Raw genomic sequence first — 13,507 nt, forward strand, 5'->3', positions numbered from 1 at the left:
TGTTCGAGCCCCCTCTCCCTCCCCTAGCTTGAGGGTCTCTGTCATGTGTGGCTTTCTTTGGTCTGAGATTGCCCCAAACAGGGCTTCGTTCCCAGGAGCGGCCATTGTCCCTGTGGGCCCTTCTTCAGGCTGTCAGATGTGTCTACCTTTCCTTCTGTTCCTGACCGGGGCCTGGTGGCTGGCCCTGGAGATGAGGGGGTTCCAGGTCCCCCCGGGCTCTGGTTCCTGGGTAGGTCTGTTTAGGGGAGCAGTCGGTGGGGGCCCTCCAGGGACATCTAGGGCTGAACCTGGCCCACTGTTCTCTGTCTTCCTACCCTGGGCCAGGCCCTGTGAGTTGCAATCATGGACTGGGGGAGACAGAAGCCAGGCAGGGAACATTCCAGGAGTGTGTCTCCAAACAGATATGTATCCTGCTGGGGGACCTTGGCCCTGGGGCTTGAGCTCTGACACTGAAGGTAGTTGCAGCAGCTGCCGCCGTTACCGACATCTCCTGGGGAGGGTTTGTGAGCCAGAAGCAAGGCTTGTTCTGCAAACACCTGTCAAGCGCCTCCTGTGTCCTGGGGACCCTGGCGGGATGAGTAGGGACACCATGAGGCCACTGCTCTGAATGAGGGGTGCCCAAGGCCAGTAACATGTAGGGGCACCTGGTCCAGTCATGGGGTCAGAAAAGGCCTTCCCAAGGGGATGCTGGAACTTGGTCTTGAAGTTGAAGTGGAAATTTGCTGTATGAAGCAGGAGGAAGGGTGTTACAGGCGAGAGAACAGCACGAACAATGCCTTAGAGGACTTCCTGGCCCTCCTGGGACCCCACCATGTCATTGTGATGGGTGATGTTAGGGGTCAACTTGACTGGGTCACTGGACCTGGGCCCAGACAGCACCTCTGCCCCATCTGGCTAGACTGCCCGGGCCTCCCTCCACCAGCCCTGGACCAGGCAGGGCTCTGATGACTTCCTCCTCCGCTCTTGCTGAGCAGGTCTGGCCCTGCACCAACTAGAGTGGGGTCCCAGCATCCACCTCCAGCGGTGGGTGGAGGCCTGAGTGCAGGGCGGTGGGGGCTCTGGGGAGGCCCTGCCCTAAATGCTTTGCTCTTTCCAGACAGAAAGCACATGACCAATTTCTAAATCAGCAGCTTCCTGCTTATAGTTTTTTATTTTATGGAAACATTATGTTAAGTACATAATTTAAAAAGCCAACTCATTCTCACAGGTTTATCCTAAAAAGCAACCATCTCTCACCCTCCCCCTCTCCCGCCATGAGTTCACTCCCCTGGGAGCCACTCCTTTCAACTTTTCATCTGTTTTTGTTTTTGTTTGGTTCCACTAGTTTGGTATTTTTCTCTATATTTCCAAATGGCATGTTTAATCTGCTGTTGATTTTCAGATTTTAGATACCGCCTCTTGACTTCTGACTATGGCAGACGGCCTCATCCCCGCTTCCTCCCCACCTCCCCATCCAGGAAAACCATGTTTGGGATCTAATTACTGTTCAAATACTAATCAATACATCAACGTGTTGATTAAATCTTTTAAATTTGGTTGAAGCAACAAAGCAATTCGTTAGTTAAACCATTGCCGTGACCCATCACATTTTCCACCCTCTCCCCATGGCCGACCGCAGTCCCTACCCCGTGTGTTCCCTTCCGTGCGTCTCCTCATATTGTGCCCTGCACTTCTCCTCGCTCGGTTCTCCGTGTTCCCCTTACTAATTCTAGCCCTGAACTTTTCAACAAAGCAGCGACCTTATTCTCTTTCACGTCAGGTACAGCAGGTGGCTAGTCCCACAGCAGGTGGCTTGTTCTGCCCGCTTCTCTCTCTGGGAACCCCTGTCTTGGACATCTCTTCTTTCTCCTGCTCTAAGCTGCTCCACTGTCACCCTGAGAGAACATCCTGTCTCTTCCCTATGAGGAACCCCGTTTCCTAGGTCTTGTGTCTTCCTTTATATTGTTTTGTTCCTCTGTGTGGTGGTGCATATCACAGGAGAAACATGGAGGAGGTCCTGACCCAGGGGCATGGGCAGTAAACTCTGAGTAAATGGAGAATCTTTGTCCATAGCTGGTGCCTTGTGGATAGCAGGGCTGGGTATAGAATTCCAGGAGGGGGTGGGCCTGAACCTTCTCAGCTCCACTCTCTCCCAGCCACAGAGGGTGGCTACTGAGAAGCTGGAATCCATTCTCACTCCTCATCCTGTTTGTGACCTGTTTCCACTTTTCCCCTGAAAACTGTATTCTTGGTGCTGTAAAATTGCACACGAATGCACCTTTGTGGCTCTGTATTTGTGCCTCGTACTGGACTCTGGAGGTCCTGGGGCTCTTATTCGTGGTCTTTGTTCTGGGACAGGTGTGAGTTATTGCTGTGAACACTCCTCCTTCCACAGTCACCATCCTCTCCTTCAGAAATGCTTTTGCTCACTGCTGGCTCTTCTGGGTTCTTCCTCCAATTCCCACACCTCCCCCATCCTTCACCACATTTGTCTCTTTGTTCTCTTGCTCTCCTGTGGTGTGTCCTCACTTTCCCTGCTCTGCTGTCTGTGGTCATTTATTAATATGCAGGCATCGGGGCTGAATGTTCATTTTCTATGGGACTCTGTTGTGTCTTATTTTCTGAATGTATGGTCTTCTCTCAGGTCTCTGAGGCTCTCTCTTTTTCTTGGGCGAGGGAGTCTCTCTGCTCCCAGTTCCTCTCTCATTTGGATGTGTCTTTCATGTCAGTGGTCTTCTCTAATGTTGGTGATCTGTGACTGTATTGTATGTAAGAGTCAGGCTCCGTGACACATTTGCCTAATAATCTGGCTCTGAGCTGCCCCCAACCCCGAACCCACCCAGCGGGGCCTGGCACCAAGCAGGCTGTGTGTGGACCGACTTGGACCTCCTCCCACGGTCAGGGCTCCATGCAGGGGGCGAATGCTCTTTGCAGTGGTGTTTATGATGTTGAAAAGCTGGACCAGCCTAAATGTGCTTCAACAGGGGACCCATCTCATGGGTTTGGGTCCATCCTGAACAGGAATTCCATCCAACTGAAAGTGATGGGCCAGGTCTAAGTCCATTGCCAGAAAAAGCCATTCAGAACCTATTACTGAGCAGCAAAAGCGAGTCACAGAGCATGGAGCAGGTCCAGCTGCACCGAGGGATGAATGTGCGTGTTCAGACACTGGTGTTCGGAAGGGTCTTCATCAAAACTTGACCTGTGACTGTGATTTCAGGGTGGGAGCCTTGGGATGATTTCTATTCTTTTCTTTATAGCTTTCTATACTATCTATTTTTTTTTAACTGCAAACAGATATTGGCTTTATAAAGCCATTTTCATCTTGGATTTAAAAAAAATCATTCTCTTAAAAGTCTCCTCACTGCTTAAAAACCCATGCTGGTTGCCCCCTACCTGCCACCACCAGCTCACAAAAACACACCCTGGCAGGGTGACAAGACCCCTCGGGCCTTCCTGAGCTCCCAGGCCGCCTGCCCTCATGCTGTGTGCAACTGTCCCTGAAGTCACCACGAGGCTGTGCCCTGCGCCCCTGCAGTGCTGTCGACTCCCTCCCTCACTCTGCCATGTCGCGGCACTGGTGGCTGGTGGCCTATCCTGCCCCGGGCCCTCCCCAGCTTCATCCCGGGGGCACTAAGTGATCCAGGGTCTCCCAAAGTCACGCTTTCCAGTGCTGTGAGCATTGCCACGGTTTCCATTTTTCTGGTCTTTTCGATGGGGTTGGAACAGGCCAATACATTTAGACAGGAGACAGGTGACGTGTTCCAAGTGTCTGTCCCCAGGGCTACATGTGGTTGCAGATCCACAGGAGACACATGCCAGGCCTCCCAGGGCCACACGTGGCCGCAGATCCTCAGGAGATACATGCCGGGCCTCCCAGGAGGAGTGAACAGAGGGAAGGGGACCTGTGAAGGCGGGAACGGGAAAATCAAAGTGTGAGGTCCAATTTGTGCTTATTTTCTGTGTAACAGGTGGAATAAGCAGGTACTGGAATCACCATAGTCCATTTAAGTAAACATAGAAATCAGTTTACAGCCGCCTTAAAAATGGTTTATTTATCTGATAAATTGGTGCCTTCCTTAACAAGTCAGTACACGGTTGCCTTGGAAAGCCGAGACTAATTGTTCAGCCCTCTGGGATTGTAATGTGTATTTGAGTAAACATCTCTGCACCATGTTGAAAGCAATGTTTAAATAGGTGGAGGAAATCCACTGAGTGCTCTTTCTTTGTTGTTTTGAGATGCTCTGGCTAATTGGGAGTTAATTTGTTGTGGAATGATTCAGGCCTTTTCTGCCTGAGCCCCGGGAGTAAAAGGTCTCACTTCCAAGACATAAAATTTCCACTCACAGTGTTGAGAGCTGCAGGACGGCTGAATAACAAATGCTATTCAGAACTGGATTTGATTTTGAGGTACCAAGTTTTGTTCTTCAGTGCTATCTGTATCTCCTTCCTCTGTGTTGAAAACCCAGGAGAAGGAAACGTTGACCCTGTTTGCAGCCATGAACCCCCCTCCTACCTGGCTCCGAGGAAAAGTGTGCTCTGTGGTCATGCAGTCTCGGGGTGGGCCCTGTGCCCTGGTCTTGGGGGGTTCCTCTGCCTGTGCCCCATGGCCCAGCCCAAGCTCTGGTGGGAGTGGGGGCCCGGGGAAGAGAAAGTAAGCTCACATTCAGTGATCGCCCCAGGAGACTCTGGTCCTGAGGGCCACCCAGCACTCTTGTGACAGCTTAGGGTCTGAGGAGCTAAGAGGAGGTACCTGGTCTGAGGGAAGGACAGCTGTGGAGGGGGAGGCCCGTGTCTGCTGTCTGTCATTCCCGTGGGGCTGGGACAGCTGTGGAGGCGGAGGCCCGTGCCTGCCGTCTGTCATTCCCGTGGGGCTGGGACCTGGGGGCTGGGGGTGGGAGGGAACTGGGAGAGGTCTCCTTTCAGGTTTGTCAAAGTGGAGGGGCCCTGAAGCCTCTGGGTCCAACCTCCTGAAGGAATGCCAGTGCCCCAGGGCCAGAGCAGGGTGGTGTGTGGTGTCGGGGAGAGATGGGCTGACCACCATCTGCCAGAGTTGCAGGAGTGCAGGGACGGGGCTGTGGTCTCTACTCGCCTGGGTCCCAGGCAGGGGTCCAAGATGGTGGAGCCCATTCTCCAAATGAGGAAGCCAAAATGGAGTGTTTCTTCCAGAGGGGGGAACCAGGCCATTTTTCTTCATCTCCAAGGCTGACAGCTTGGAATGTCCTCTGGGCACAGAGCTCTGGCGGTGGAGGAGACCAGCTTCCTGGGACAAATGCCTGCTCTCCACGCCCGGGAGGAGAGGGGGCAGGGTGGTGCGTCAGACCCAGGCCCTGTGGCTGGCAGGGGTAATGCTTCTCGATGTGGCCCAAGGAGTACAGATTCCAGGGTCCCACCTCTGAGTCAAATGCAGTTGATTCTCTGGAGGCATGGCCTGGGAATCTGCATCCTAGCAACTGCAGGAGTCCAGGTGCATACCTGTCCGAGGGCCCCTGTGGCTTCAGTGCTCACTGCCATGCACAGGTACATGAACCAATACCAAGCTGCCACATGCAGAAAGTGCCCAGGGCCATCAGATGCAGGTGGAGTGCTGCCTACCAGAGTGGCAGACATGGTCCTGAGGATGGGCAGTGGCCACGGCGGGGGGCGGGGGGAATCATGGGCAGAGATGACTCTCCTAGGCAGAGGAAAGGCCAGGAGCTCAGGTCCAGAGGTGGGTGCTGGGTAGAGAGTCAGGTGGGGGCTGGGTGGAGGGTCAGGAGGGGGCGGGGTGGAGGGTCAGGTGGGGCCGGGTGGAGGGTCAGGTGGTGGCTGGGTGGAGGGTCAGGTGGTGGCTGGGTGGAGGGTCAGGTGGGGGCTGGGTGGAGGGTGGGGGGGTATGGACCGTTAAGTGGGGGCAGGTGAAGCCTGGGGTTAGTCCATTGGTGCAACTGGCTTCTCTTGCAGGAACTGGGGGAGAAGAGGGTTCCTGAAAGGAAGGTGCAGGTGAGAGATGGGCTCTGGGGTGTGGCCACAGCAGAGCCCATGGTGAGGGGCCCGTGGGAGGGTCTCCCTGGTCTTGCTGCAACTCCAGTCTGGCTTAGCTGACTCTGCAGATGACCCTGCCCCTTGGGCCCACAGATAAACTCGTCCCTGGGCCTCTGGATTCCAGCCGCAAAGGGCGTCCTTCTGGGTCTGGCTGGGTGGGGAGGAGTGTGCAGGGTGGGCAGAGCCAGGGGTGGGCTCAGAGTCCTGGTTCCAGGCTCAGCACCCCTTCCTGGGTCACCATTCCCTTTGTCCAGGCTGCTCATCCCCCAAAGCCCAGGCCTACTGGCTGAAAGTTCCAGAATTAGAGTCACCTTGCATGGGTCAGTTCTATCCACAGGAAAGCTGCGTAACAAACCATCCAGCACAATGGCTTGCAGCAGAAAGTGTTTCTTTCTTGCTCTTGAGTCTGTGAGCTGGCAGGGGCTAGGCAGGGCTCCAGGCGGAGGGTTCTCCTCTGCTCTGTGCTTCGTCCCTGCTGCTGGGAGCAGGGGACCAGCCAGTCATGCCCTTTTCATGGTGGAGGCTGGGCACTTGTAGAGGGACTGGCAGAGGCAGGAGATGCTTGTGGTGTGGGCCCAGAATACTCACGCTGGCAACCCTCCGGCCCTACTGCCAAGACAGCTTCCCAGTGGTGCTGTGGGGGCCGGGGGTGACCTTTGCTGAGTGGTCATCTTACATTCCGCCTCCTTGCTTTATGAAGCACCCCTGGTTCCCCGGACCGTGCAGGCACCCACTTCGAGTCCTGTGCCCATCCCCTGTAATCCTACCCTGCTGTCTGCCAGCTCAGGACTGGAGGCTCCCCAAGGTCGGGGCTGCCTGGAATCACTGCTGCCCTGTGGTGTTGGCACACAACAGTGTTTCATGAGGAATCAAGGAAGGGAGGGAGGGCGAGGGCGAGACAGAGAGGAAGACAGGGAGGGAGGAAGAACGGAAGATGCAGATGCCAGACTCACACTCAGAGAGAGAGGAGGGAGGAATGACTCCCAAAAGCGCTTCTGGGCCCAGGGGTGGGCGGGCCCCTAGGACCTGCACCTCTCAGCTGTTCTGCCCCTCCCTGCAGAGGACAGCCTAGGTGGTCAAGAGGGGCAGGAGCTGGCCCTGCCAGCCAGGCCTTGCTTTGGGAGGCAGCCACTTCTCCAAAATGCCTTGTGCAGAATTGCTCTTTCTTCTGCTGGGAATCTGAAAGCACTGACGCTCCCCCTTCCTGGCCTTCCCGGCTCATCCTCAGGCTCCCTGCCCTGGCCTGGAGGTGTGCAGGCTGGCAGGAGGAGGGGCGTCATCACAAAAGGCTGCACTGCACCCTGCACCCCCACGAATCCTGAATCTGAATCCGGGAGCAGCTGTTGAACAGAGAGGATCAGCCCCCAAAGCAATCCCACCCCAGGCGTGGCACGAAATGACTTGCTTTGGTCTTGAAATACATGAGCCTGGATCCTAGCACCTCTGAAGGCCCTTAAAAGATGTAATTGCTTGACTGCAATTATTTTAGGAGGTTTAACTAACCGCATGGGTACTTTTTAAGAATATTCTTGAGCTTAAAATTCCACCCACGGCCCCCGAGGGTGGGGCTCTGAGCGTCGCCCAGGGGCCTTCGTCCCTCCCACAGTTGGTGCAGCTGTGCCCCAAGAAGGGGGTCTCAGGAGGGGGCTCTGGCGAGGCAGCCAGCCCTGCCCAGGAGGTGCTGCCCCCACTGCCAAGGAGACAGAGTGAGGAGAGCCAGGGACCCCCTCCTGCAGCTCCAGCCGAGGAGAGCTGGGGGGATGAGGAAGAGGGAGGGCCGGGAGGGAGAAAAAGTGATTTTCTTAGTGACAGGCACTTTTCTGAGCCCTGACTTCCTGGGTGATTAAATGCGGAACGACGCTTCCTCATCAGGTTCTTGTGAGGATTAACGCAGAGAATGCAGGTAAAATGAGGTAAAACGCCCAGCGCAGGAGCTCGCACCCAATTAATCCTCTGGAGATGGCCGCGGCTGTTGTTACCGGGCAGTTCATCTCCGGCTCTGGGATGAGGCTGGGACGCCAGCTTCCAACTTCCAGAGGAAATTTTAGCATCCGTCCAGGTGCTATCAAAGCACCAAAGCCAAGACAAAAACCAAATACCCACCTGCCCAAACCACCGAGAGTGGCCCGCCCCACACTGTGCCCTGCCCCACGCTGTGCCCCGCCCCACACTGGCGTGGGCAGACACTTTGAGGAGCTGAGTTAACAATGGGTTTCTAAAGGATTAGCCGAAAACAATTACATGTGATTTATGAGGATGGTAGGAAGGGATGAGCAATGAGCACAATTAGTAGAGGAGTAATAGTGATTTTAAAAGTTGTTTTAAGTGTGGCGCAATCACAGCGTGCGTGCGAGGGCTGGCACCTGCCGGCCTTCCTGGGAGACTGCCTGGCCCTCTTCCTGTGGAGGGTGGTACTCAGGGTCCGCGGGGAAGGGACACTTTCCAAGCATCAAGGAGGCGCCAACCCGTGCTACGGTCGGCTTCTAGTGGAGGGAACTGAGGCGGGGAGAGCTTGAGGTATTTGCCTGGGGACGTACGGGAGCAGGAGGTGGGACCCGGACGTCCTGGCTCAGCGCAGCCTTTTCCAGTACCCGGGACCACGGGCCAGCCTGTGTCCCCCGGCGCCAGGCAGAGCGGTCCCAGGCACGCGCCCCAGGGGGCTTATTGAACTGCATATCCCACAAAAACCCTCACTGACATAAACGTGCCCTGGCTGGTGGCCCCTGCCTGGGAACTGGAAGTCAGGGCTGATGTGCCTGGCCGGCCGTGGTTGCGGTGGTCAGGGCCAAGCGCCGGGGCTGGGGGGCCACTTCCACCCTTTCCCACACGCTGCTGCCTCAGGGGGCACATTCCGGGGCTGGCTCTCTGTGGGTAGAACCAAGCTGCTTCTGAGGGGCTGAACTCAGCACCCAAGTCCTCCCCTCGCCTTCTCTTTCCACCAAACCAAAGGCTCGCCCAGCCTCGGCTGCAGCAAGGAAGAGGTGGCCGATGTGTGCAACGGGGGCCAGGACATGGGGGAATAATGTGCCCTTGTGCCTGCTCTCCAGGGCGCTTCATGTTCCATCCCATGAAATAAGCGTCATTCTCAGCCCTGTTTTATAGAGGGGGAAACTGAGGCATGGGAGGTTCAGCAACTTCCCACGATGGGCACCTAACCCATGTTAGGCGGCAGAGCTTCATGGCTCAGGCCGCCAGGGTCAGGGGCCACAGTCCTAACCATGAAGCCATCCTGCCTTGATGAATGTGGCGTCAATGGGCACCCCGGAGCCAGCCCCCGGCCCTCCCCTGGCTGTTCTGTCGTGGGGAGAGTTGGGTCTCAGGCTATCTCTGAGCATCTCGGCTGGCCCCCACCTGCCCTTCCCTGAGCTGGCTCCTTATGGCCCTGAGAAGTAAAAAATATCCCTTTCCTTAGCAACTTGACCCCAGGACATAATGAAGGGGGCGGGGGAAGGGAGAAAGAGAGGGAGGGAAAGGGGAGAGGAAGGGAGAGGAGAGAGAGAGGGAGGGAGGGAGGGAGAGAGACAGGGTGGGAGATGAGAGAGGGAGGGAGGGAGGGAGAGAGACAGGGTGGGAGATGAGAGAGGGAGGGAGGGAGAGGACAGAAAGAGGAAGGGAGGGAGAGAGAGAGGGAGGGAGAGGAGAGAGAGAAAGGGAGGGAGGGAGAGAGGACAGAGGGAGAGGAGAGAGAGAGGGAGGTAGAGAGGGAGAGGAGAGAGAGAGAAAGCGAGGGAGGGAGAGAGAGAGGGAGGGATGGAGGGAGAGAGAGAGGAAGGGATGGAGGGAGAGAGAGAGGAAGGGATGGAGGGAGAGAGAGAGGAAGGGAGGGAAGGAGAGAGAGAGAGGGAGAGGAGAGAGGAAGGGAGGGAGGGAGAGGGAGAGGAGAGAGAGAGGAAGGGAGGGAGAGAGAGAGGGAGAGGAGAGAGAGGAAGGGAGAGAGAGAGGAAGGGAGGGAGGGAGAGAGAGAGAGGGAGAGACAGAGGGAGGGATGGAGAGAGAGAGAAGGAGGGAGAGAGAGAGGGAGGGAGGGCTGAATTCTTCCAGGCTCAAGGCTTTGAATTAGGTATCTTGGGCTCAGATACTTGCGAGTACAGTTCAGGGACGTCAACTCCTGCCTCAGGGCAGTTGTGTTGACCTCTGCAAACTCCTCAAAACATGCCCCACCCACCGCCCCACTGCCCTGAGCCCTAACCCAGCTGCTTTGCTTCTCATCGCTTTTCCCAGGGAATTAAAAACCCCACAGCCTTCCCCACGGCCATGTGACTCCAGCGGTTCTTCCTCCCCATCCACCGTGAGCCCCTCAGTGTGGGGACCCTGCGGCAGGGCCCCATTGAGTGGAGTCAGTGGGACGCAGCTGGCGTGGAGGGGTGGGGGCGCTGAGCGGCTCTGGGGGCCACCTCCAGGTAGCAGGTTGCCAAGTGCATCAGGCAGGACTGTCCCCCTCTGAGCCTCTGCCCCCCATGTCTCCCCACAACTGAGGGGAGGGTCTCAGGCGGAGACAGACTGTGCTCAGATCTCCCCGGAGCCTCAGCCCACAGTCAGCGCCCGGGATGCTGGTGGGTGTCCCCACGCACACCACCTCTGCTTGCCCCCATACTCACAGGGAGGGGCCCTGGGGAGCGGCAGGGTCGGCGCTGGCCCTCGGCCGGCCATGTGCTCCTCCCACCCTGCACTGGGAGCTGCTGGCTGGGTGGTCTCAGGCTGGCACAGCAGCAGAAAGCCGTCCTCATCACCCCCCAGGATGGTTGTGGCCCACCCTGGAGCGCCCCAGCTTTGTATGAGTCTGGGAGTCGGTTTCTGGGACACACCACTTAGACACTCATGTCTCACCACCCGACTTCAAGGCCACACGACCATGTGGACAGCGCGGGGACCTTCAGTTCCTGTGTTCTATAAGCAGCACTGACGGAAGGCGCCATGACCCTGCGGTTCAGGCCCCAGGCCCCTGAGACCCCTGATCTCTGCTGCGCCCCTATAATTACTCAGCAGGGGTGGGGTGATCCGCAGCAAATGATTTTTTTTGTTTTTTTGAGCCGGAGTCTCGCTCTGTGGCCCAGGCTGGAGGGCAGTGGCGCGACCTCGGCTCACTGCAAGCTCCGCCTCCCGGGTTCACACCATTCTCCTGCCTCAGCCTCCCGAGTAGCTGGGACTACAGGCGCCCGCTACCACGCCCGGCTAATTTTTTGTATTTTTAGTAGAGACGGGGTTTCACCGTGTTAGCCGGGATGGTCTAGATCTCCTGACCTCGTGATCCGCCCGCCTCGGCCTCCCAAAGTGCTGGGATTACAGGCGTGAGCCACCGCGCCCGGCCAGCAAATGATTTTTATTTGCTTTGCCTTTTCTTACATTCTCCCAAATGTCCATGGTGGAAATGGTCAAATTCTGTCATCAGAAAAGCAAGAAGCAACACGAAGAGGTCTCCCTGCAGATGGCCCCCGCACAGCCCAGCGGGGAGCCCCACGTCCCCCAGCCTCTCCCTGCACAGGGACTGGGGCTCCCCAGGTCTCAGGGCCCAGTCCCTCCCCACCGTGGGGGCCACCGCTCCTGCCTCAGCACTGGCTACCAGCTGTGGCCGTCTGCAGGCCTGGAGGAGGGCCCTGAATCCTGCCATCCCCACAAGAAGGCCAGTGGGGGTGGGGCTCCCACAGGTTTACCCCCAAGTCTGGCTGTCCAAGTATCCCTTCCTCTGCAATGCCCCCATGCTGAGCGGTGCCCCCTGCGGGGAGCCTTGGAGCCCAGCCAGCCTCCCGGGACACAGCAGGACAGAGTCCAGGCCCCTCCCCCTGCCAGTCACCCCCGGATCCCACTGCTGGACTCCCCCCGTGTGTGGTGGCCAAGCGTCTCTCACCCTCTGTCTCCACTGTCCTCCTTGGACTCCCAGAGATGGGGCCACCCCCTCACTCCCCAAAGGGGAGCCCCGCAGCTCACGGCGGGCAGCGGCTTTCCCAGGGCCTTCCAATGAGTGGTGGCATCAGAATCCACACTGGTCAGACACGAAGGCTAGGGTCCTGACCACCTCGAAGAAGCTCCCCTCACCTGGCCCCACCTCTGGCCCAGCTTCGGAAACCCAGCCCAGGGCACCTGGTCGGGCCTGGGCCGTCATTCCTGTCCCCAGGGAGAGGGTGTGAGGATCAGGAAAACACCGGAAGAGTTTCCTGATGCCTGAAAAAAAATCGTCCGGGCAGCAGCTTTCCCCTGGGAACCTCTCAGGGCACGGGGCCTGCTCCCCTCCCGTGGGTGTCACTGCGGCTTGCCCTGCAAGGGGCCGTCTGTGCACACGGGCACCCCCAGGGCTGAGCTTCCCCAGGACAGGGACAGGACCCGCTGCTGGGCTCTGCCTGACTCGCCATCTTGGCCATTGCATCCTGTCTGTCTCCTGGGGGGTTCTTGGGTTTGAGCTGGTGCAGGGAGCATGAGAGGGGGTCTGCGTGGAAGATGAGTGGGGCAGCACGCCCCCGGACCCCGCCCTCCAGAATAGAAGGGCGAGCAGATGTGGCCCCAGGATCCAACACCACCCGGGGCGGTCCCTGGGCCAGCATGGGAAACAACACCCAACTGGGTTCAGAATCCCCGATGGTGACCCAGAGGGCTGTGGGGGCTGAGCTGGGGAACTCTGGCATCACTTCATCCTCACTTTGTGTCTCTGAGGCAGGCAAGCAATTGCTGTCACTGTCATGGTCACTGCCACACCCATGATCGGGTGAACAAGCTCACTTCCTGCACACTCTCAGTCATTCATCCATCCGCTCACTCACAGGTGCGCACAGGCAATTACTAGCATTTTCTCACCACCCTTCTGTCAAGGATTGATGAATAACTCATGGGCCCTGCTCTCTCCTGAGACCATAGAACCATCCATGGCTCCCCAGTTCTTTGACATCTGCCCTGTTCTCCCACTTCAGTTCTGAGAAAGCTTGTTGGTTGATTCTGTCTCCTGCATTTCAATAGCTATTTAACCTAACCAGAGCTTTGGCCTTGGTGAAATTGATTTCAAAGGAGAAGGAGATAATATTCCATTAAAGTCACTGAAAAATTGATCATCCAGTCTCTGTGCGATCTCAGGGGTAGAGATGCTAACGACTGTTTAGACTGAATTTCCGTCCTTGCACGGCTCCAGGTTTCACATCAATCCCAGGCGAACAGCCACTGCAGGGCTGGATGCCGGGAGACCTGGCAGCAGATGACTATTTGGAGCTCTGGGATTCCTGTGTGCTTAGTCTCTCATTTCCAGAGTGTTCAGCTGACGTGCTTCTTGCCCCGTTCCTCCTTGTATAGCAAAAAGCTCAATTACTGATGCCCCAAATTCAGCCCCCACTGGGCCTGGCCCCCAGGAAGCTCAGAGGATGGTGGGGGGCCCCACAGGGCCTCAGATTGGGTGGCCTCATTTCCACCTTGTTTCAAACTGCCATCACCTGTTTGAAAGTTGAAGTTCTTACCCTGACCTCAAGGGGAGATGCGGTGGCCCCACCCCAAGGTGTGGTCCTGGAGGACGAGCACACACCCAGAC

At 57.1% G+C, this 13,507-nt stretch overlaps 5 annotated features.

The window, feature by feature from the left end:
- Positions 4,684-5,184: an enhancer, noted in NCBI's record as "H3K4me1 hESC enhancer chr4:3722956-3723456 (GRCh37/hg19 assembly coordinates)". NCBI's record gives its function as "activates a minimal SCP1, AML or CMV promoter by ChIP-STARR-seq in naive H9 embryonic stem cells {active_cell/tissue: H9 hESC(naive)}" and the evidence as "EXISTENCE:reporter gene assay evidence [ECO:0000049][PMID:30033119]".
- Positions 5,185-5,685: an enhancer, noted in NCBI's record as "H3K4me1 hESC enhancer chr4:3723457-3723957 (GRCh37/hg19 assembly coordinates)". NCBI's record gives its function as "activates a minimal SCP1, AML or CMV promoter by ChIP-STARR-seq in naive H9 embryonic stem cells {active_cell/tissue: H9 hESC(naive)}" and the evidence as "EXISTENCE:reporter gene assay evidence [ECO:0000049][PMID:30033119]".
- Positions 7,014-7,816: an enhancer, noted in NCBI's record as "H3K4me1 hESC enhancer chr4:3725286-3726088 (GRCh37/hg19 assembly coordinates)". NCBI's record gives its function as "activates a minimal SCP1, AML or CMV promoter by ChIP-STARR-seq in naive and primed H9 embryonic stem cells {active_cell/tissue: H9 hESC(naive and primed)}" and the evidence as "EXISTENCE:reporter gene assay evidence [ECO:0000049][PMID:30033119]".
- Positions 8,620-9,421: an enhancer, noted in NCBI's record as "H3K4me1 hESC enhancer chr4:3726892-3727693 (GRCh37/hg19 assembly coordinates)". NCBI's record gives its function as "activates a minimal SCP1, AML or CMV promoter by ChIP-STARR-seq in primed H9 embryonic stem cells {active_cell/tissue: H9 hESC(primed)}" and the evidence as "EXISTENCE:reporter gene assay evidence [ECO:0000049][PMID:30033119]".
- Positions 12,191-12,930: an enhancer, noted in NCBI's record as "H3K27ac-H3K4me1 hESC enhancer chr4:3730463-3731202 (GRCh37/hg19 assembly coordinates)". NCBI's record gives its function as "activates a minimal SCP1, AML or CMV promoter by ChIP-STARR-seq in naive H9 embryonic stem cells {active_cell/tissue: H9 hESC(naive)}" and the evidence as "EXISTENCE:reporter gene assay evidence [ECO:0000049][PMID:30033119]".

The sequence above is a fragment of the Homo sapiens genome, chromosome 4, assembly GCF_000001405.40.
Source record: "Homo sapiens chromosome 4, GRCh38.p14 Primary Assembly".
Taxonomy (NCBI): Eukaryota; Metazoa; Chordata; class Mammalia; order Primates; family Hominidae; genus Homo; species Homo sapiens.